The 21,632-nt window shown below is 52.8% G+C and overlaps 1 protein-coding gene across 2 annotated transcripts in view, besides 5 other annotated features; it reads left to right on the forward strand.

Moving 5' to 3' along the window:
* Positions 1–21,632, forward strand: part of NDST1 (N-deacetylase and N-sulfotransferase 1) — a 60,433-nt gene that overhangs the window by 8,323 nt on the left and 30,478 nt on the right. The window contains exons 1-2 of one of the 2 annotated variants that reach the window (NM_001543.5): positions 2,030–2,125; positions 14,767–15,666. In NM_001543.5, coding sequence (NP_001534.1) covers positions 15,154–15,666 — 513 coding nt within the window. In that variant the 5' untranslated portion in view covers positions 2,030–2,125; positions 14,767–15,153. Of the gene's footprint in view, positions 1–2,029; positions 2,126–14,766; positions 15,667–21,632 lie in introns of those variants that run through there. The other variant, NM_001301063.2, reaches the window with a different exon arrangement.
* Positions 4,014–4,587: an enhancer, noted in NCBI's record as "H3K4me1 hESC enhancer chr5:149889677-149890250 (GRCh37/hg19 assembly coordinates)". NCBI's record gives its function as "activates a minimal SCP1, AML or CMV promoter by ChIP-STARR-seq in naive H9 embryonic stem cells {active_cell/tissue: H9 hESC(naive)}" and the evidence as "EXISTENCE:reporter gene assay evidence [ECO:0000049][PMID:30033119]".
* Positions 5,506–5,800: a silencer, noted in NCBI's record as "tiled region #361; K562 Repressive non-DNase unmatched - State 8:EnhW". NCBI's record gives its function as "represses a minimal TATA promoter and a strong SV40 promoter by Sharpr-MPRA in K562 cells {active_cell/tissue: K562}" and the evidence as "EXISTENCE:reporter gene assay evidence [ECO:0000049][PMID:27701403]".
* Positions 5,889–6,542: an enhancer, noted in NCBI's record as "H3K27ac-H3K4me1 hESC enhancer chr5:149891552-149892205 (GRCh37/hg19 assembly coordinates)". NCBI's record gives its function as "activates a minimal SCP1, AML or CMV promoter by ChIP-STARR-seq in naive H9 embryonic stem cells {active_cell/tissue: H9 hESC(naive)}" and the evidence as "EXISTENCE:reporter gene assay evidence [ECO:0000049][PMID:30033119]".
* Positions 16,402–17,279: an enhancer, noted in NCBI's record as "H3K4me1 hESC enhancer chr5:149902065-149902942 (GRCh37/hg19 assembly coordinates)". NCBI's record gives its function as "activates a minimal SCP1, AML or CMV promoter by ChIP-STARR-seq in naive H9 embryonic stem cells {active_cell/tissue: H9 hESC(naive)}" and the evidence as "EXISTENCE:reporter gene assay evidence [ECO:0000049][PMID:30033119]".
* Positions 19,436–20,176: an enhancer, noted in NCBI's record as "NANOG-H3K27ac-H3K4me1 hESC enhancer chr5:149905099-149905839 (GRCh37/hg19 assembly coordinates)". NCBI's record gives its function as "activates a minimal SCP1, AML or CMV promoter by ChIP-STARR-seq in naive H9 embryonic stem cells {active_cell/tissue: H9 hESC(naive)}" and the evidence as "EXISTENCE:reporter gene assay evidence [ECO:0000049][PMID:30033119]".

The following is a 21,632-nucleotide window of genomic DNA, read 5'->3' on the forward strand; positions in this document are numbered from 1 at the left end:
TTGTGGAGAATAAGAACCTTTGTTTTTGAGAGAGGGTCTAGCTGTGTCGCACAGGTTGGAGTGCAGTGGTGCAATCTGGGCTTACTGTAGCCTCAACCTCCTGGGCTCAGGTGATCCTCGCACCTCAGCCCTCCCATATAACTGACTATAGGCACACGCCACTACGCTGTCTAATTTTTGTAATTTTTTTTTGTAGAGAAGGGGTTTTGCCATGTTGCCCAGGCTGGTGTTGAACTCCTGGTCTCAAACTCCTGGGTCAACCTGCCTTGAGCTCCCAAAGTGTTGGGATGACAGGCGTGAGCCACTGCACCTGGCAGTGAGCACCTTCTAAAAGGCTCCTCGCGGGCCTCACCTGAGCCTAGTCCTGGGTGAGTTCCTGATCTAGGACTGGAACCCTGGTCTCCTGGCCCCATGAACTGTTCTGGACCCCTGCGAGGTACTTTTTAGAGTCTCGCTGAGGCCTCCTATTCCTCTTTAAAAGGAGCCTCTGTGAAGTAGGTCACCCAGTGCTTTTTGCTCCACGTTTCTGTTCTCTAGCTGTTGTCTGTGTCCTAGAGAAAGCCGGGCCCACTTGCCCCCACCTCTCCCCACCTTCTGCCCCCTCCCCCTGCCAGCTGCGCCTCCATGTAAGTACTTTGAGTCCCTTAACACCCCAAGGCGTGTTGGTGGCCAGCTTTTGTCGTGATGACAAGCCCCAGCAAGTCTACAGGGACTGGCTGCTTTCATGTGGGCCCTCGGTGAAGCCTCCTTGGTCTCAGCAGGCCCTGTGTTGTACCCACCAGGCCTCTAGGAGATTAGGGGGCTTCTGTGGCTCCAGATGGCTCAAAGCTTTTCCCTTCCTCTGTGTTATCCCTAGCCCACCTGGCTTCCGTCCTCACTGGCCACGGGGCTTGGGGGATTTTCAGTCTCTCCAAGGCTCTGGCATCTTCCAGAGTGGGCTAGTCTTGGAGTGTCCATCTGAGCCATTCTTTCTGTCACCACTGCTGGGCCTGCCTGCTGGGCCTTAGGTGACTTCTTGAGAGGTGGCCAAAGCTGCTAATCCCTGGAAGGGGCTCCTAGGATTTCCCTGTGGCTGGCAGGACCCTTGGCCACCCACGTGGTGTGACATGAGGAGCCTGGAAAGCCAGCCCAACCTCCATCCTTAAGCCCCACGTATAAACATACCTTTTTTTTTTTTTTAACTGCAGCTCTCAGAGCCTGCAGTTCTACTGTTGTCAGGTTGCCTTGTGCTCTCCTTGGCATCCTCTAAGAAGGCAAATACCTTTTCAGCTGGGTGCTTTTAAGCATTTGCTGTCAAGAAGCAAGCCCTGGCCAGCCTGGCCCTTTTCCAGTGTTCTGTGTGACCGTGGCCAAGTTGCTTCTCTTCTCTGGGTCTCGTCTTTGTAAGACCCTTTTCAGCTCTAGCACTTTGAGGCTCCAGCATGGATTCTTACACCCTCCACACCTTTGCCGGTCACCTTTCTTCCTTCTCTGCAGGGTGGGGCACAGGGAAGGGCCTGGCAGCTGAGCTGGGTGGGGCCAGGGGCCAAAAGCCAGCATCATAGACACTTTTCCCTCCAGCTGGGCATACCAGTCCTTCCTCTTCTTCTCAGGACAGGTGGGGAAACTGAGGTCTGGAGGGGGAAGGGCCAGGGCTGGAACCAGGACCCAGTTATCCTTATTGCCAGTGAGTGCTCCTCCTGCTGTTGGCTGCTACCTCTCTTGAGAGGGTCAGAAGACCCACTAGCATGAGGGTCAGGGACATGCTTTTTCCTTTCCCGTGGAAGGCTCCTCCAGGCAGGGCTTGGGTGAGGCAGGCGAGGTGCCAGTGGTTCCCTGGGCACGGGGCAGAATCGGAGGAGGACATCCTCTTTCTGAGGTTAAGGAGGTAGGGGCTGGAGGCCTTGACAAGGGAGGTGGCATGAAGGGGCGTGGAGGTTTCTAGGAACGTGGTTGGTGGCGCAGGGTGCTCTAGGGCCACCTCCCTCCCTTGCTTCTGCCTTCCCTTTCTCCTGGGGAGGGGACTGGGCCAACAGTAATGCCATTTTTCCTGGCCCTGGGATTAGGTGCAGCCGTGTTAAGGAGAGGACATTCGAGAGGGCGTGGCGAAGTGAAGAGGAACCTCACGCCACTGCCTGGAGCTCCGGTGGGTCTGGGTCTGGTCATTGTCTCGCTGGCTCCTGTCCACTCTGACCACTGTCCCTGGCCCCCTGCCCTGTCCAGTCCTTCCAGGTCCATCTGAGTGTGTGTGTGTGTGTGTGTGTGTGTGTGTCCCCAGGAGGGATCTGGGGGTACAGGCTGGCACTTGAGCCTGGCACTGGGTCCTGCCTTCATTCCAGATCAGAAGCAGCTCCCGGAACTGCCCCAGGGAGAGGTCTAGGCTGACCTGGCAGATTCCTGATGGAGGAGAAGGAGGAGGAGGCTGAGGGATGGGAAGGAAGGGCTCAGTTTCTCCTGTGGCTTCTCCAGACAGCTAGGCATGTCCACAAATCCACCTGAAGCCAGCAGGTCCAAGAGTTTAAAGATTTATTTCAGGGCCACGGGGGAAGCTGAAATGGTGAGATCCCAGGGCTCTCAGATGTTGTGTTTGTGGCTTTGGTCCTGTCTAGACTGTGAGAGCCATGGCTTGTCAAAGCCAGAGGGGCCCCTAGAGAATTTCCATGTTCTTAACTTGGCTTTTGATGGGGGCCAGTCACAACCACTCTGAATTTGTGTGTCTGGGGAGAGAATCTGCTAATAGCCATCATTAGATTCTCAAAGGGTTCTATAACCCCCAGAAGGTCACAGACTTCTCCTCTAGTCCATACCCCTCACTGCAGTTGCAGAAACTGAGGCTCAGAGAAGGGAAGGGACTTGCCCAGAGACTCACAGGCGGCAATGGAGGCTGTGGCACCCCCTGCCTCTGTCTTCCTGCCAGCATTCTGCCTGACCTTACAAGCTGGGGAAGCTTGGCTCATTCAGGGGACAATGACCTCTCATCCCCTGATGAGAGGAAGGGGATGACTGGGAGGGAAGGACTGGGAGGCTGTTGTGGTTTCCAGGCCCGCATGGATTTTGGCTTCTGCATCCTTGAGATGGAGGCCCCTGAGTCTGCCTGTGCCTTGGAATCTCTCAGGGTGTATCTGAGGCCTGGAGTCGGGCATGCGGGAGGGTGGGGGCTAGTGGTGACCCACATTTCCCAGCTCCTCTGCAGGGGAGGCAGATAGGGGAGAAGCTCAGGGTGTGATAAAATTGTTTTTACTTCACTGGGCATAAATGACAAATAAATGAAGTGAGGGTTGGGAAGTGCTTGGTAGAGCGCCTGGCACATGCCAGGCCGTGAGGCGAGGTGCTCACCATTGTCCTTTGCGGTGCCCTGCTAGCTGAGATCTCCTGCTTCTGACCCTCGCTCCTGCCTCTTCCTTAGCATGAGGCCTCTGCCTGGGGCAGGAGGTGGCCCCCCTTTCTTTATTTTTTTTGAGATGGAGTTTCGCTCAGGCTAGAGTGCAATGGCGCCATCTCGGCTCACTGTAATCTCCGCCTCCCAGGTTCAAGCGATTCTCCTGCCTCAGCCTCTGGAGTTGCTGGGATTACAGGCATGTGCCACACACCTGGCTAATTTTGTATTGTTAGTAGAGATGGGGTTTCACCGTGTTAGCCAGGATGGTCTCGATCTCAGGACCTTGTGATCTACCCGCCTCAGCCTCCCAAAGTGCTGGGATTACAGGCAGGGGCCACTGCCCCGAGCCGCCATCCCCCTTTCTTATATTGGGGTGTCTGATGGGGGCGTGAGGACCCTCTGGCTGAAGTCCTGCCTTGCTGGGTTCCATGGTGCACCTCTCTGCAGTGCAGGCTTTCCCAGGAGGCTGAAGCTCAGCTAGAGAAGCTGGGTCAGCAGCCCTGGGCCTGGTCACCTCCAGGAAGCCTCTCTCCTGGGCTGCAGACCTGGCTTGGGAGTGGTGTGGAAAGTAGGACTGCAGAAGGGTAACGAACAGGGGCTGTGGGGTGGGCTGGGAGGGGCATCCTAGCTCCACCTCTGCCCAGCTGTGTGACTTCGAGCGGTTGCTTACCCTCTCTGAGCCTCCATTTCCTTGTCTGTAAAGTGCTCATAGCAGTGACACCTCTTTCAGGGTGTTAGGATTGAGCGTGATGGAGCAGGTAAGGCTCCTGGCACAGCCCCACATGTTCGCAGGAGCTTAACGTTGGCCGCCAGTAAGGGAGGTTATGATATGTGTTGGGATATGCTGCTTTGTTCCTTTTGAGTGTCTGTGATCTGAGCCTAAGGAAAAAATAGTTCTGGATGGATTTGACTCTGTCATAGGCAGATTTGGGGATAGGGTGGGCAGAGAGCCCCATTTTGGGAAGATTTGTGGCCACTGCATAACATTCTGTGTGATGGACCTGACAGCCTTGGTGTGCGTGAAGAGCCTCAGTGGGACTGTCAGGACTGTCCCGTCCTTGGGACGGGAGGGTGGCAGGTGACCTGCCGTGTTCCCCACACAGCCCCACCCCCAGGCTGTCTGGTATGTTTGCTCGGTAAGCCCTTTTTTTCAGAGCTGGTACAAAGGTAAACTCGCAACTCAGGCCCTGTTGGAAGAAGGACACATTCTCAACAAGTGAGGTCTAAGTTCCTGAGGTTTTCTGTTGGGCCTTCCCTGCCAGGGAACCCAGAACAGATTCACAAGTTGAGAACCAGGGAGTGAACCAGTAGTGCTTAATGCTTTGTTTCCTTGTTGATTGACGGATGATCTGTGAGCTACTTCCAAGAAAGATCACTAGAGGCTGCTTGTGATACTAAAACACATATAAAATGGATGAAAACAAACACAGACAGAAAACTATTGAAAAGGAATGGAGAAAGGGATGTGCAGGGCATCTGGCAAATGTTAGCTGTCTTAGGTGATCACAGAGGGGCTGCGGAGATGGGGGATGAGGGGCCCAGGCTCTGGAGCCCAGCAGCTGTGTGCTGAAGTTCCCATTCACCCCCTTATTAGCTCTGTGGGCTGCAGCAAGTGACTGGCCTCTTTGGACCTCAGTTTCTCATCCGTATAATGGGGGGAATCTAGGTCATGGTGCTGTGGTAAGGTTGAAATAATGGCATGTAACGCAGACATGGCATGTCTCATAAATGGAAGTTAATGTTATTAATGCATTTAGCTTGGAGATGCCGCGTAGCAGATTCACAGAGGGGAAGGTAATTGGCAAGGGCACAAGGCTCTTGAGTACCTGCTGTGGGTAGGAGATGGCTTGTGCCTTGGAAAGCTTTCAGTGAAGTTGGGAGCCCCATGTTCTAGTTGCAAGAACAACTGATACCTGGTGTTGCGTGGTGGGATGTGGAGCAGGGGAGCTCAATCAGGACTTTAGAAATCCAGAGCAGGCTTGTTCACCTCCCTGCTGAGGCTGGCATTGGAGGAGGAGGGACAGGGTTTTAATGGACAAGAAAATGGACCAAGGTAAATGAGAGTGGGGCACACCAGACGGCACAAGCCAGGAGGTCCTTTCCTCTCTCTGGGTCTCAGTGTCCCCAGGGGCTTACTGCAGGGTAGACTGTGCTCTCTGTGGCCCTGCGACTCTGAGCCAGACCTCCAACAGTCTCTTTCCCGGTGGTGGTGGTCCTGGACTCTGGGGTGACTGACAGGCGGCAGCTTGGCTCCTGGCCAGGCAGCACTGTGGGGGTGATGGGGGATGGGGCATGTAGCAGATTCCAGCAGAGGAAGGGATTTGCTTCTGGTCTCGGCCTCCCAGGGATGTAATCACGCTGGAGAAACTCCCGCACAGCTGGGAAGCAAATGTGGAGGATTTTCCTTGCTGAGCTGGATGTGGTGGGTGGGGCAGGCTGTGGTAGGGTGGCTGGTGGAGCTGGGAAGCTGTGGGGTGTGGCTGGGTGGGGGTGATGATGTGACTGTGCTGGGGGTGTGACTGGCTGGGAGGGGCTGGATCAGCTATGGGGAGTGGCCCTGGGTGCATGTGGGGCTACCTGTTCCCCAGGCCTGCAGCCACTGCTACGCCCTCCCCTGCTCAGGTCCCTGCCCAAGTCCAGGTACCCACCCATTCACATCCTTCTGAGGTTGCTGGCAGAGCTCTTTCTGCACTGACCTCCTCTCAGCCCCCACCCCATGTGCATGTGGCCCAGATGCCTATGATGATGCCATTTGAGCCTGTCATGTGCATGTGAATGTGGTGTGTGTGTTGGGGGGGCAGGGAGCAGTGTGTGGTCCACAGAGGGCATTGTCAAGAGTGACCTAGGCTGGAAATAAAATGTGGGCTGGGTGAGCATTCAAGGCCCTGGGCACCTTCCCCCATTCACTGCAGCCATGTCGTACCAGAGACATAAAACCTTGGGTTCCAGAGACCTCTAGAAACCCTTGTGGAAAGGTCATGGTCGCCACTGCATTTTCAGTGCCTAGTGGCATGCTTGGCACCTAGTGGTGCTCAGTAAATACAGGATGAGGAAACAGGTCGTTTGCTTGTTCCGCACTCCCAGAAAGATCTCGAACCTCCTTCCTGGATCCCATTCTCTTGCTCCTTCCCTCTGGCGTCAGCCTGGCCTCCCTTCCTCTCTCTTTCTCAATTCACTACTAATTTGATATGTGGCCTTGGGCCAGTTCCTTCCTGAGCCTCACTTTCCAAATCTGTTACTGAGTAATCATTTTATTAGCTTATATTACCATGTGCCAGGCACTGAGCTCAGTGTTTTACATGCCTCATCTCTCTTTGTCTTGGTAGCTGCCCTGCAAGATAGATAAGTAGTATAAACCCCATTTTAGATTTAGTGAAACTGAGGTTCAGAGAGGTTGAGAGATTTGCTCAAAGGTCATGAGGCTGGTAAATAATGGAGCCAACATTCAAGCCCCAGCTGGGAGCCACTGCACCCGGGAATTACCTGTAATCCCAGCACTTTGGGAAGCCAAGGCAGGAGGATTGCTTGAGACCAGGAGTTCAAGACCAGCCTAGGCAACATAGGGATACCTTGTCTGTATTAAAAAATTAGCTGGGCATGGTGGCACACACCTGTGGTCCTAGCTGCTTGGGAGACTGAGGTAGGAGGATCACTTGAGCGTGGGAAGTTGAGGCTGCAGTAAGTGTGATTGTGCCCCTGCACTCCAGCCTGGGCAACAGAGAAAGACACTGTCTCAAAAAATGAAAATATGCTGGGCACAGTGGCTCACGTCTATAATCCCAGCACTTTGGGAGGCCGAGGCAGGTGGATCACTTGAGGTCAGGAGTTCGAGACCAGCCTGGGCAACATGGCGAAACCCCGTCTCTACTAAAAATACAAAAATTAGCTGGGCATGGTGGCAGGTGCCTGTAATCCCCACTACTCAGGAGGCTGAGGCTCGAAAATCGCTCGAAGCTTGAACCCAGGAGGGGAAGGCTGGAGTGATCCTGGGCAACAGAGCAAGACTCTTAAAAAAAGAAAGAAAAGATTCAAAGATTCAAGCTCAGGCAGGCTAGCTCCAGTCTCGGCCTTTAACTGTTATGCTAGCTGTCACCACTAGAGTGAAATAGAAGGGTGTGCACAGCCCTTCTAAGGAGGCCTGCTGGCGCACAGTAGGCATGGTGTACATGTGAGTTGGGTTACTGGGCACAATTCACCATGAAAGGCATGGCTTGCTCAGTCTCCATACCTGCTTTTATGGAGCTCTTGGTCTCATTCCTGGAGCCCACCCATTCATCACAGGCCCAAGCCGGACCCCCTTCCCTGGTCCCAGTCTCTGGACAGCTTGCTCCTGTAAGAAGGCCCTTGTACCTCTGCCCCTTTTCTCTTATGGGTCCGGGGCAGCATTTTCAGGTGGGGATGTTAGATAGAGTGACTTCAACTCCAGAGCAGTGGCCACGGTTACCGTGGTATTTCCCGAAAGTGCAGCGTTGCCATGGCGTCTCCATGACGACCAGAGCATCTCATTCATTATCCTCAGCACCTTGGCAGGGAAAGCTGGGACTAGGGCTAGGGGAGTGCAGTGGGAGCCTGGCTGAGGGCTGTGGGCCACTGGCCTTTGTGGCTGAGGTTCCCCTCATGCCCCTGCCTACCCCAAGCCAAGGTTCCTCTGCAGGCTCTGGAGTTATCTCCCACCCATGGGTTCTGGGTTCACATTTCAGCTCTGCCACTGAACAGTTGTGTGATGTTGGGCAAGTGACAACCTCTCTGAGCCTTATTTTACTCAACTGTAAATGTGGATAACAATATTAGTTGTAAGGATTACATGAAATGAGGTATAAAAAGTGCTGGCTGGGCGTGGTGGCTCACGCCTGTAATCCTAGCACTTTGGGAAGCCGAAGTGGGTGGATCATCGGAGGTCAGGAGTTCAAGACCAGCCTGGCCAACATGGCAAAACCGCATATCTACAAAAATTAGCCGGGAATGATGGTGGGTGCTTGTAATCCCAGCTACTCGGGAGGCTGAGGTGGGAAAATTGCTTGAACCTGGGAGGCGGAGGTTGCAGTGAGCCAAGATAGTGCCATTGCACTCCAGCCTGGGTGACAGAGTGAGACTCCGTCTCAAAAAAAAAAAAAAAAAAAAAAGTGCTTAGCACAGTGCCAGGCTCATAGTATGGCAGTATTCATAATGATGATAATTATAATGTTGTTGGTGTTATTTTTATTGTAGGAACCCTTGGGTTTCAGGGAGGAATGAAAGACCAAACTCAAAGTCAGGAAGGAAACCCATTTGAGTCAAGATTTGGTGGTTTCCATGTGACTGTGGCAAGTCACTTCACCTTGAAGTCTTTGTCTCCTTATCTGTAAATTGGAAATAATAACAGCTGCTCATTCATTCATATCCTGAGTATTCAATAAGGACCTGACCCTGGGAAAAGTGGGAGCTTCCACGATGAATCAGACTTGGTTCCTGCCCTTGAGTGGCACCCGGGCACTGGGGGAGGAGGAAGAAAGGACACTGTTTTGTGCTGAGGGCTGTGTGTGCCGGGTGCTGGTGAGGGCCTGTGCAGAGGTCAGTAAGCCCTGGTCCTGCCCCACAGATCTGCAGGCTACAGGAGGTAGAGCCATGTGCAGGAATGCCCCCAGTTTACTCTGCACAGACCACATGCTCAGGTGCACCCAGGGGCTGGGCAGGAAGCCAGATGAAGGAAAGAGGTTGGCTGTGAGACTGTACATAGAGATGCTGATGGTGTTAACTGCAGGATACACAGCCCATTTGAGGCTGGCACTCTAAGTGCCTCAGCTGATGGTGGCAGGTGAGGATGTGTGCCCAGTGTCACCAGAACTTGCCCTCTTTAGAGACAAGTTAGAAGTTCTGACTTTTATATAAAATCTCCTGATTTAAAAATGTTGCTAACGAATCCCAAATTAAAGAAAAATACTGTGCAAGCCAAAGAGCACAGTCTGCATTTTGTTTGGGCTCCAGGGTCCTGGTTTTCAGCCTCTGCACCGTGGAGTGGGGATGAGGCGGGAGCCTGAGGAATGAGACTTAGGAGTGGGAGAGGGGGCAGTGGTTGGTGATGACTTCAGAGGGGTCATGACTTTGGAACCTGGATCTTGAAAGATGAGTAAGTGTCCCAAGGGGTCCGGGGAGGCATTCCAGGCAATGGGAATTTCATCAGCAAAAGCCTCAATGCTTCCCCGAGATTGGTGACTGGCTGGGTGAGGCTGGAATTTAGGGGAAACTGCTGGTGATGTCTGCAAGGCCCAGCAGGCCCAGGGTGGTGGGGGTCATTGAGGCCTCAGCCCCAGCTGTCCTTGAGGCCTTGGTGGCTGCAGGGGGACTAGAAGCCCCTCAGTTACTTACCTCTTGAGCCACGGGAGTTCTGGAGTGCAGGCGGGTGAGGAGGGCCTTGGGTGGAGGGTGGCAGCCTCTGAGTGGGTTGCAGAGGGGCTGTGCTGGAAGCCCCCTTTGCCAGCCGGCTGAGTGGCTGGCACTTTGCTACAAAGCAACTGGCTTCCCCCCACCCACCCCCACCCCAGGGTATTTGGCCTTCTCTGAGGACAGGGGCTACCTTGCTCTCCCTCTGCCCTGGGTTTTGCCATGGCCTTATCTTCAGCTTCTTGGCTTCTATCCAGGCAGCCAGCCAGCTCCCAGTAAGGGCCACAGCCTCCAAAGATAGGGCTACTTTTCAGACATGCTGTGAGAGGAGGACGGCAGCCCTGGCTGCCTGGCCCTCTGTGTAATAAGTGTGTGTGGTGCCTGCCTGCCTCAGCCCTTGCTCTCCCTCTGTGAAATGAGCTGCCCTCCCCTGCCTGAGTCCTGGGGCTGTCAGACTCTCAAGAGAGGGATGAGCTTGAAAGTGCTTCGTGAGCTAAGCTGTGATCCACATCGTGAGGGATTGTCATAAGTATGTTAAATAAGCAACAGGGGTGCGTGATAACAGCAGCTGTGTGCCAGGCGTGGTTCTGAGCATCTTATGTATCAACTCATTTAATGTTCACAACCTTGGGAAGTAGGTAGAATTTCCATTTTACATGCTAGGAAACTGAGGCACTGAGAAGTTAAATAACTTGCCCAAGATTACATAGCTACTAAATGGTGGAGCTTAGTTTTGAATCGAAGCCACTTGGCTCCAGTCTGCACGTGTAACCAGTAGGGTCCATCAATCTAGGACTTTAGGTCTGTGGATGGGTGGCAGGGAGGCTCTGAACTCCTTGAAATTATTATGATATATATTTTTTTGAGACAGAGTCTCGCTCTATTGCCCAGGCTGGAGTACGGTGATGTGATCTCACCTTACTGCAGCCTCTGCCTCCTGGGTTCAAGTGATTCTCTTGCCTCAGCCTCCCGAGTAGCTGGAATTACAGGTGCCTGCTACCATGCCTAGCTAATTTTTGTATTTTTAGTGGAGATGGGGTTTCACCATGTTGGTCAGGCCGGTCTTGAACTCCTGACCTTAAGTGATCTGCCCACCTCGGCCTCCCAAAGTGCTGGGATGACAGGCGTGAGCCACCACACCATTATGACATTTTCTAGTGTGTGTGTGTGTGTGTGTGTGTGTGTGTGTGTGTGTGTGTATGGCTTTATTGTTTAGATTTTTAGTTTTACATTCACAGCAAAATTGAAAGGAAGATACAGATATTTCCCATATGCCTTCTTCCCCTGCACACACACACAGCTTCCCCCATTATCAACATCCCCCACCACAGTGGTACTTTTCTTTTTTTTGAGATGGGGTCTCGCTCTGTCGCTCAGGCTGGAATGCAGTGGCACAATTATGGCCACTGTAGCCTTGACCTCAGGGGCCCAAGTGATCCTCCTGAGTAGCTGGGTCTACAGGCACATGCCCTGACACCTGGCTCATTTTTTTTTTTTTTTGTAGAGATGGGGGTCTTGCTATATTGCCCAGGCTGGTCTTGAACTCCTGGCCTTAAGTGATCCTCCTGCCTCGACCTCCCAGGGTCAGGGGACTGCAGGTGTGAGCCACTGTGCCCAACCCAGAGTGGTAAATTTGTTGCAACAGATGACCCTGCATTGACACATCCTTATCACCCAGAGTCCATAGTTTACTTTCGGGTTCACCTCTGGTAGTATGCATTCTGTGGGTTTGGACAAATGTATAATGACATGTATCTACCATCGTCGTCTCATACACAGTAGTTTCACTGCCAAAAAAATTTTCTTTGCTCCGCTGATTCATACTCTCAACCCCCAACCTCTGGCAACCGTGTGCATTTTTTTAATGCGCATATTTTTTATGTCTGAAAAATGTCAGATTCCCACAGGGTTTCGTGGCTCCCACATTCCTGAGACTCTGAGCTGCATCATTCACACTCTGAAAGATTGTTAATCTGATAGAGGGTCACTGACCACAGCACTCAAGCCTGCGAGGAGTGGCTGGTGGCTGCTCTCCTCCGCTTCCATGGGATTGGGTGGCCAACGTGGGCAGGGCGCCATCAGGGCATCCCCACCTCCTATCCACTGTGCTTCTGTCCTGGCCCTAGGCCAAGGGGTGGGGCTGGGCTGCGGCCACAGGCTGCCCTTATCAATGGTAAATGGGACACCTGGGTACCCTGAGTGTAAACAGGACCAGTCACCCCAGCCTTCCTGGCTCTGCCCAGGACACCTGCTCCTTCTTGCCCTGCTCTCAGCTAGAATTGCAGGGAGTCCCTGGAAAGTGCCACACATGCTCTTATCTCCAAGCTGTGGTATGTGCCATTTCCTCTGTCTACCCCTGCCCAACCCTTACTTTTTCTTCTGGTCAGCTTAGGTACCCTTCCTCCAGGAAGCCTTCCCTGTCCCCTCCTTCCCCCTGCCAGAAGAGTTAAGGACCCCTGAGCTCTCCCAAACCCCCATCCCATCCCCGTCTGTCACACTTATCCCCCTGCATTGCAGATGCCTATTTTCTTGGCTGCCTCTGGTTCCTCAGGGTACTGGCACTGAAATGTAGAATATCAGAGGTGAAGGAGCCCCCGGAGATCACCTGCCCCAACCCCCTTGTAACATGCAGGAAGCCCAGAGGGAGCCACACAGTGCATCATGGCAGAGCTGAGACCAGACCTGTTGTCCCAGTCACCTCCTCATTTCACAAACAAAAAGCGGAAATAAAAATCACCCAGAGATAATCACTGTTAATGTTTCTTTTTTTGCATTTAGCACCAGTTTCTAGCCTATGCACAAAAATATTTAACTAAATTATGACCGCACGTACAAACTGTTTTATAAATGTTTTTGACTTTGACAATACATACGGTAATTATATTTCTATGTCAGTACATGTCCTTCTCCAACATATTGTAAATGGCTGCCTAGGATTTCATCATATGCTTGTATTATAATTGCTTTTTTTTTTTTAGATAGAGTCTCGCTCTGTCGCCCAGGCTGCAGTGCAGTGACGTGATCTCGGCTCACTGCACCCTCCGCCTCCCAGGTTCAAGTGATTCCCCTGCCTCAGCCTCCTGGGTAGCTGGGACTACAGGTGTGTGTCACCACGCCCGACTAGTTTTTGTATTTTTAGTAGAGATGAGGTCTCACCATGTTGCCCAGGCTGGTCTTGAACTCCTGACCTCAAGTGATCCACCCACCTCGGCCTCCCAAAGTTCTGGGATTACAAGCATGAGCCACCACGCCCGACCCTTGTGTTATAATTCCTAAATACAATCTCCCATTGTTTGGGATTTGCTGTTATAAGCAGCACTAGGATTTGTGTTCTTGTGGAAAAATCTTTACACACTTCTGCAGTAATACCTCTAGGATAAATTCCTGGAAGTGCAGCTGTCGGGTCTGGAGCATGCTGTACCCATGCTGAGCACATCATATAGTCTTGGAGCTGGAAGGGATTTCAAAGATCTTTACCCTCTAGGCTGGGCCCAAGCCTTGAATTCCCCCCTGGCCTCTTTAGCCCTGGCTCTTACACCTTCCATCTAGACCTGGGCAACTCTCCTTCTAGCTTTGAGCTGCTGTGACTGATAGTTGCTCCTTGGGGGCCAGGCGTGGTGGTTCATGCCTATAATCCCAGCACTTTGGGAGGCCAAGGCCGGCGAATCACCTGAGGTCAGGAGTTCAAGGCCAGCCTGATCAACATGGAGAAACCCCATCTCTACTGGCATGGTGGCTCATGCCTGTAATCCCAGCTACCCAGGAGGCTGAGGCAGGAGAATCACTTAAACTGGGGAGGCGGAGGTGGCAGCGAGCCGAGATTGCACCATTGTCTAGCCTGGGCAACAAGAGTGAAACTCCGCCTCAAAAAAAAAAAGTAAGAAGAAAAGAAAGTTGCTCCTTGGGTTGCTGGGAAATCTCACTTCTTGTGACTTCATTACTATTTAAGGGAGACTGGTAGACTGTGTTTGGGGTTGCTGTTTGGGATGAGACAATTGGGGCCTTTGTGTCGTGTATGTACGTCTTCGTTAACTCTTTCCAGTGAGATGAGTATAGGAGGCGTGGCCTGGGTGCAGGCGGTGCGGGGGGTTCAGGCTGAGGGGGAGGCTGGAACCCAGAGTTATGGCTGCCTGGGTGGACAGAAGGTCCAGGGCGGGGGAGGCCTCCCCTCTGCATCCTGTGGTGGCAGTATGGCGATCCTCAGGAAGGCTATTTGGTCATCTGTTGTCCTGGGCTGCTGTGTGCACCTGTGGGTACGTACCCCGAGGATGAGAGATACCTGGTTGCATTATGGGCAAATATGACAGCTGCCATGTTTCTTGTGCCAAGCTCCTCAGACATATTTACTTAACGCTCAGCTACAGCCATGAGCTACAGGGGTGCTGGTGTTACAGATTAGCTCACTGATGCTTTAAAGGTGTAATGGTCACCTGAGGCCTTCTCACACAGCTAAGGCACACATGCCCTGCAGCCTGCTAATGAATCCTGGCTTGGCTTCATTCTGAGTCTTCAGAATGAAAAGACTGATGGAGACTCAGTCTTTTCATCTATCATATGGGGCTGCTGGGCTCATTCAAAGAGAGCAACGGGTTAGGAAGGGAATGGAATATGGTGAGGATGTGGTATTCAGTCGTGATTTAGAATTCTACCTCTAGTTCCCAGGCTGTGCAAATGTTTATCATCTCTCCCCATCCGTCCTGCTCCTGGATTTTTCTTGGCCTAGTCTTGGACTCTGATAATGATCAAAAATAGCAACTCCAATTTGTAGATACCATATGCTAGGTACTGCTTTAAGTCGTTTACAAACGTTGTTGGACTTAATCCTCCAACCCCTTATGAGATGGGTTCATATTATTTATTGTCTGCCCCATTTTACAAGTAGGGAAACTGGGGCTCAGAGATATTAAAGAGCTTGCTCCAAATCATGCAACCTTGGTTCGGCAGCCGTACTTGCATTTGGGCATTCCTAGGTCAGCTCCTGTGTGTCCACAGTTAGCTGAACCCTGAAGCCCGCACTCTGACGCTCCTGTTCTCTCCACTCTCCACAGCCTTAGCCCCGTGGGCCCCACGGAGTGAGCGGCATGCAGCACCCCCGGGCCTGTCCAGTGTCCTCTGGCCTGCTGCCCTGCACCCCCAGAAGGCCCTGACGCCCTGGGGCACTTCTGCTCTGCACAGGACCACGCGGGGGTTTGCCATGGTGACATAAAGGGGCGCGGAGGAAGGAAGGAGCGTGACCAGCCTGTGGACTGCGCCCCTGGCTGGGAGGAAGGACTGGGGGCCCAGATCCTCCACTCCCAGTGCCCCACAAGGGCGTCGCTTCCTAAGTCTCTGTGAATTTGTTGGTCAGTGGACGATTCTCGTGTCTCCTCCTGTGTGGGGCCTTGGGGTAGCCAGGGCAGGCCGGGCCTCCGGTGGCCAAGGTCTCGGAGGCCAGGATGCCTGCCCTGGCATGCCTCCGGAGGCTGTGTCGGCACGTGTCCCCGCAGGCTGTCCTTTTCCTGCTGTTCATCTTCTGCCTGTTCAGCGTTTTCATCTCGGCCTACTACCTATATGGCTGGAAGCGAGGCCTGGAGCCCTCGGCGGATGCCCCCGAGCCTGACTGCGGGGACCCGCCGCCTGTGGCCCCCAGTCGCCTGCTGCCACTCAAGCCTGTGCAGGCAGCCACCCCTTCCCGCACAGACCCGTTGGTGCTGGTCTTTGTGGAGAGCCTCTACTCGCAACTGGGCCAGGAGGTGGTGGCCATCCTGGAGTCCAGCCGCTTCAAATACCGCACAGAGATTGCGCCGGGCAAGGGTGACATGCCCACGCTCACTGACAAGGGCCGTGGCCGCTTCGCCCTCATCATCTATGAGAACATCCTCAAGTATGTCAACCTGGACGCCTGGAACCGGGAGCTGCTGGACAAGTACTGTGTGGCCTACGGCGTGGGCATCATTGGCTTCTTCAAGGTACACAAGAAGCAGGGTCCCCGAGCAGTTCAGAGCCCCCTCTGCAGCTCAGTGCCTGAATTCTCATTTGTGAAATAGGTGTAATGGTAGCACCCGCCTCCTGGGGTTGTTGGGAGGGTTAAATGAGTGAGTATATGTAAAGCACTGGGAGCATGCGGTGCCCACTGCCTGGCAAGTGCTTTGTAAGTATTAGGGGAGCGTGCCAGGGGGATCGCCTGCTGTGCGTGGGGTCCAGCACACAGCAGGTGCTTGCCTAAAGGAGGCCACAGAGTAAGTGTGAAGTCAGAGGAGCATGCTCTGCTAGGTGCCCCAAAATCTGTCAAGGCAATCTCCCCTAGGGAGGGCGTGTGCACCCATTTTTCAGATGAGCAAACCAAGGCTCCGGGTGTTAAGTTACTTATGTGAGGTTTTGCAGCCTGTAAGTGGAGAAGCCGAGATTTGAACCTAGACATAGACAGTTTGGGCTCTCTATCCCATGCTCTTCCCTCTTGGTGGTGGTGGAGTATGGCGTTAATATACCTCCTGACCCAGAGCCATTTTGCATGAGGAGAAAGAGGAGAATGAAATCCCACTGGCAGATGGGGAGCTGCTCTGGGCTTTATGGGGCTTCCAGAATGACCGCCGGGATTGGGGTCCTTGCAGGAAGGGTGTCCCAGAGAATCTGTCCTTGGCGGGGGGAGGTTGGGAATGGTGGGCGGGGGATCCAGAGGCTGTGGTCAGAGAAGTCTGACCTGCAAGATGAAAGCAGACACTAGCTGGGACTCTTAGTTGGATGCTTTGGAGGTGGCAGGGAATTTGTTCCTTCATTCAACAAATATTTACTGAGCACTCACAGTGTTTGTGGTCCTGTGCTAGCGGTGATCGAAGTGGACAAAGTCCCTGCTGTCATGGAGCTGGCATTTCAGTGCTTTGGGAGTGGGTGGGTGACAGGCAGTGAGCAAATAAACACAGGATGGGGCAGGTGTGATCAGTACAAAAAGAAACAAAGCAGGGAAAGGACACAGAGGGTAGTGGGGGTGGGAGCTTGACATTATTTTAGGAAAGTCGTCTTTGATAAAGTGACCTGAAATAAATGAGGGGAGGAGCCATGTGGCTTTCTGTGCAAAGAGTCTTCCAGGAAGAAGGGACGTTAAGTGCACGAGTCCTAAAGCAGCCTCTTGCTTGGTGTGAGCCAGGAGAGGAGGAGCGGGAGATGGGTCAGAAGTGGCCTGTGTCCGCTGCTGGGTGCCCGTTTGTGCCAGGCCTTCCTGGTGCACTTGCGCACTGGGCCCTGTCTCCTGGAGGGCTTCTCATGGCGTGTTCTTTCACACCCTAATACAGCAGGAAGCTCTGCCACTGAAAGGTATTGTGAGCCAAGAATTTGAAGGCCCTTAGAAGTCCTGCAGTAGAGCAACCAGTGAGATTTGTTCTCAACTGGCTTGATCACAAAACCCTTTCTTTTACAGAGCACCCTCAGGGGAACGCTGGCCTGGTTTATGGCTTTACAATGACATCAAGTCAGATTATCTCCATTGTCTGGTTGTCTCTTTTCTCTTGGACTCTGTACCCTTTCCTGCCATGAACTTCGTTAAGTTCTATTCAGAGTCCCAGGCCTGAAAAGCGTCAAGAGGCTGACGTTTATTGAGTGCTCACTCAGTGCCATGCACCGTCTACATGCGTTGTGCAGATTCACGCACTTCACACGAAGGCAGGTGGCTAGCAGCCTGATTTAAGATAGGAGGAAACTGAGGCAAAGGAGGATAAGCAATGTGTCCAAGCCTACGCCTCTGATGAGTATAGGTCTGGGATTTGAACTCAAGCAGTCCGGCCCCAGAGGCCTTAGTCTTAACCACGATGTGATGAGTCCAGGAGCCTCACATACCACTTATTCAGGAGAAGTGACATCAGAGGCCACACCCAGTGCACAGAGCTCCCACAGTCTTTGGGGACCAGGCGGTGGGCTGTGGCCATTGGGCGTAATTGGTACAATGGAGCTTGGGCGCTGTCTGGCCCCAATTCCTTGCTCTGCAGAAGGTAAACAGGAGGCCTAGGGAGGGGTGCGGGCATGTTCAGAGTCTCATCGTGGGGCCAGTGGTAATTCCAGGACTTGGTGCTCTTCCTACCCTGTTGCCTAGGACAAGACTATCCTTGGTTTTGAGCAGAGGCCTGTGATTTTCTGCTCAAATGCATGCCCTCTGGTGGTCAAGGCACATCTTTCCACTCTTTCTGCAAGACCAACTTCCCCGCTGTGTGCTGGGCTTGCCAAGTGGGGATTGTCTGTGGGCTCCAGGGATCTGAAAACTCATTTTCCAGTTCCCACTGATGCTGGATTCCCAGGGCAGTGTGAGAGCAGGGACTTAAAAGTCCAGACAGGTTCAAATCTCTCTGTCATTTAGAAACAGAGTGACTTGGGTAAAATGCTCAACTCATCTGCAAAGTGGGGCTAATTACAGCTGCTGCCTCACTGGTCTGTGTTGAAAACAAGACAGTGGGTGGGGAGCACTGAGCCCATTGCCTGGTACCGGAGCCACTCAATAGATGGTAGCTATCGTGCTTTGTCATCTCCAGGTTCAGTAAACAGCAGTGGTAGCACTGTGTCCGTCTTGTGGCCCTGACCAATGTGTGCCCCTGTGAGATCCTGGAGGGTGGTGGGAATAGGGTCATCCTCATCTGGATCCCTACTTCCTGGCACTGTCGTGCCTCAACCTTGAAATTCCAGGTGACCTGGGGCTAAACACACCCTGGCAGGGGTCTGGCAAGGAGTACCTGACCTCTTTCATTGAGCACTTACTGTGTCCCAGTCACTGAGCTCGGTGCTTTGCAGGCATTTCATGGCTAATTCTCACAGCTATCCTGTGAAGTAGGCACTTTATTTTCAGATAAGGACCTGAGGTTCAAAAAGTTAAATGGCTTGTCCCGAATGACATAGCTACAGGTTGAGTGTCCCTTGTCTGAAATGCTGGGGACCGTAAGTGTCTCAGATTTTGGAATGCTTGCATTCTACTTACCAGTTGAGCATCCCTAGTCTGAAAATCTGAAATCCAGAATGCTGCAATAAGCATTTCCTTTGAGCATGACCTTTAGAGGTCACATTGGTGCTCAAAAAGTTTTGGATTTTGGAGCATTTTGGATTTTCAGATTAGAGATGCTCAACCTGTGGTAAGTCATAGAGCCAAGATCTGACAGTCAAGCTTGTTGTTTCTAACCCAGCCACAGGAGCAAATGTGCTGACAGGGAGCCTGAGGCTCAGAGAGGAGATGTAGGATTCCCAAGGTCCCCCAGGTAATGGTGAGGTCTGTGCTTGGCCTCCACCTCTGCGTTCCCGAATCAGGGCTCCTCCTCCCTCTGCCTGGGGGACCCCATTGGAAGACTTGGTGTCTCCGGAGTGGGTACTCAGTGGTGAGGAGCAAGAGGGATTTCCACTGCTGTGGGGTGAGGCCTGCAGTGAGGCCAGCCTCTCGGTGCTGAGGCCCTCTATTCCCTTCTTGCCTGGTTCATTTCATTGCCAATGGATAGGCCATCAGTGACTTGGCTTCCTCCCTTCCTGGATGGCTGGGCAGCTGACTGAGCCTCCAGCACCTGGCAGTCAGCTCAGGGTCGGGACTTTGAAATGGGATCCCTCAGCACCCGCGGTCCAGTGTGGCATCCCAGGCCTCAGCAGGCGATGGACAAGGCCTGAAATGTCTCTGGCCCCTACCGCTTTTGTCCCCACACAGCCCAAGTAGTTCCCAGCCTTGGTCAGGGCTGTCTTAGGAGTCGTGAGCAGCCTGGAGTTGGGGAGGTAGCTGAGGACTGGTCTGTGCGCTGGGCCTCAGCACCCCAGGCTGGCTCAGGACAGGGTGGGGAGGTACTCTTGATGTTTGGAGAATCACATGCAGGCTACTTAATGTGGTTTACAAGGCCAGGGCCCTGCAGAGCCTTTTTGGGAATTAGAGGAGATGAGTGAAAGGCGCTCTTCTGGACAGGTACAGCTCTGCAACGGGCACAGGCTCAGCTGAGACTTTACCCTGCCCCCGCCACTGACCTGCGCACCCCTGTGTGTGCTCCCTGAGCAGCTCTCCTGGGGGCCCCACACATGACCCCATCTCCCCCTCCAAACTCATTTTGCTTTGCCCTGCCCCACTCACTCTCCAGGCAGCAGCCACATGGATCTTTTTAAAATGCAAATTAGAACCTGTCATCCTTTGATGGAGTCTTTGAGGGCTTCCTGCTGCTGCTTCAATCCTCCAGCACCCTGCAGGCCTGGCTCCAGCTGACCTATCTGCCTCATCTCCTCCTTTCCCTCTTGGTCACTCTGCTGTCTTCTTGCTATTCCTTGGTCATGCTGAGGCCTGTCCTACCTCAGGGCCTTTGCACTTGCTATTCTTGGCCTCTACCTTTCCCTTTGTTTGTGCTTGTTTGTTCTTTAAATGTTAGCTCAAAAGTCCCTTTCTCCAGGAGACCTCCTGAGCCCACTAACTGTGCCCAGTAATCTACTGTTCCACAAATATGAACCTCCTCTGTGTAGCATGTGCCACACTGAAGTTTTATATTTATTCCTGTGATTTCAGTGAATGTCTCTCTTCCCTCCTTGATTTTAAGGTTCATGAGAGCAGGGGCCATGTCTTTGTTTTTCTCACTGTATCACTGGCACTTAAAACAGTGCCTGACACAGCAAATAGTTGTGGAATGAACAGATGAAACCTGTATTGAGCGTCTATCTATGCCAGGTACTAGAGAGCTGGCTGTTCCTCTTTTATTCCTTTTAAAAATCCAGTTCTGCATTGAATTGTGTGTGTTCCTGCTGGGTATCAAGCTGGGCACTAGGGGTCCAAAGGCGAAACATCATAGCCCCTAACCTTAAGGGGTTGCAGGCTGGTGGGAGATAGAACGCTGAAAATATAATATTGCAGCTGAGGTGAGAAATGCTGCAGCTGAGGCTTTAACATGGTCTCAGGGAGGCCAGTGCAGAGAAGAGGGTATATGCATTGGGTGTGAATTATGAGCAGGAGTTTGTCAGGCCAAGAAGACGGAATGGAATTGGCACAGGAACAAGGACAAATTGTACCATATTCAGGGGCAGGTGGCTGAGAGGGTGAGGAAGGTCATGAAGGAACAGGGGCTGTGAGCCTAAGGAAGAGGGGACTGGGGCACACTGTCTTCAGACTTCCAGGGAGCTGAGCAGCCACATGCCTTGAGAGAAGGGAGGCAGAGACTTCACCACTGATGGCAGTGACCGGGCAGGCACCATAGTGAGGGAGTGGCCTCTGGGGTGCTAGGGGCATATGGGGCACCCCCAGCAGAAACCTCCTCTTTGAACATCTGCATTGGCATCCACATAAGATGTCTCCTGAAGAAAAGGTTGCGTGGCCAGAGGCAGTTTGGAAACCCCAGGCAACCACGCCTAATGGTTAGGTGTGTGGGTGCTAGGGCTCGACCTCTTGGCAGCGATTCATAGCTCCTCCCAACCACTGTGCTACTGAGGGCAGCATGCCCCTCCAAGCCTCGGTTTTCACACCTGTGAAGTGGGATACGCAGGCTGATGTGAGGACTGAATGAGCAGTTTCTGGTCATGCCACAGGCCCTATTCTGAGCACGTTGCCGGTATTGATACTGATCATCCTCTACCACTCCTGGAGTTACTTTCTGTTCTTAGCCACATTTTACAGCAGAAACTGAGGCACAGAGAGGTGATATAACTTGCCCAAAGTCAGGCAGTCTAGCAGGATTCATGTTCTCAACTGCTAGATTTTCTTCTATGTGGTTTAGCCTCTCTAGGCCTCCGTCTGCTATGTGTAAAATGGGTATGAGAGCAGTGTCTCCATCTGGGGTCATTGGAGGATTAACAGCATTCCTGTCTGCAAAGTGCACAGCACCTAGTGCCTGGCTTTGGTAAGTGAGTCGTGTGTTTGTGAGTATATTATTGTGCAGGGTGGAGCGCAGGGCCAGGGTGGTGAGCCCTCCATGAATGTTGGTGAATATTGATACCACTGTTATGGTCCACATGT

This window comes from Homo sapiens, chromosome 5 (genome assembly GCF_000001405.40).
Source record: "Homo sapiens chromosome 5, GRCh38.p14 Primary Assembly".
In the NCBI taxonomy this organism is placed as follows: Eukaryota; Metazoa; Chordata; class Mammalia; order Primates; family Hominidae; genus Homo; species Homo sapiens.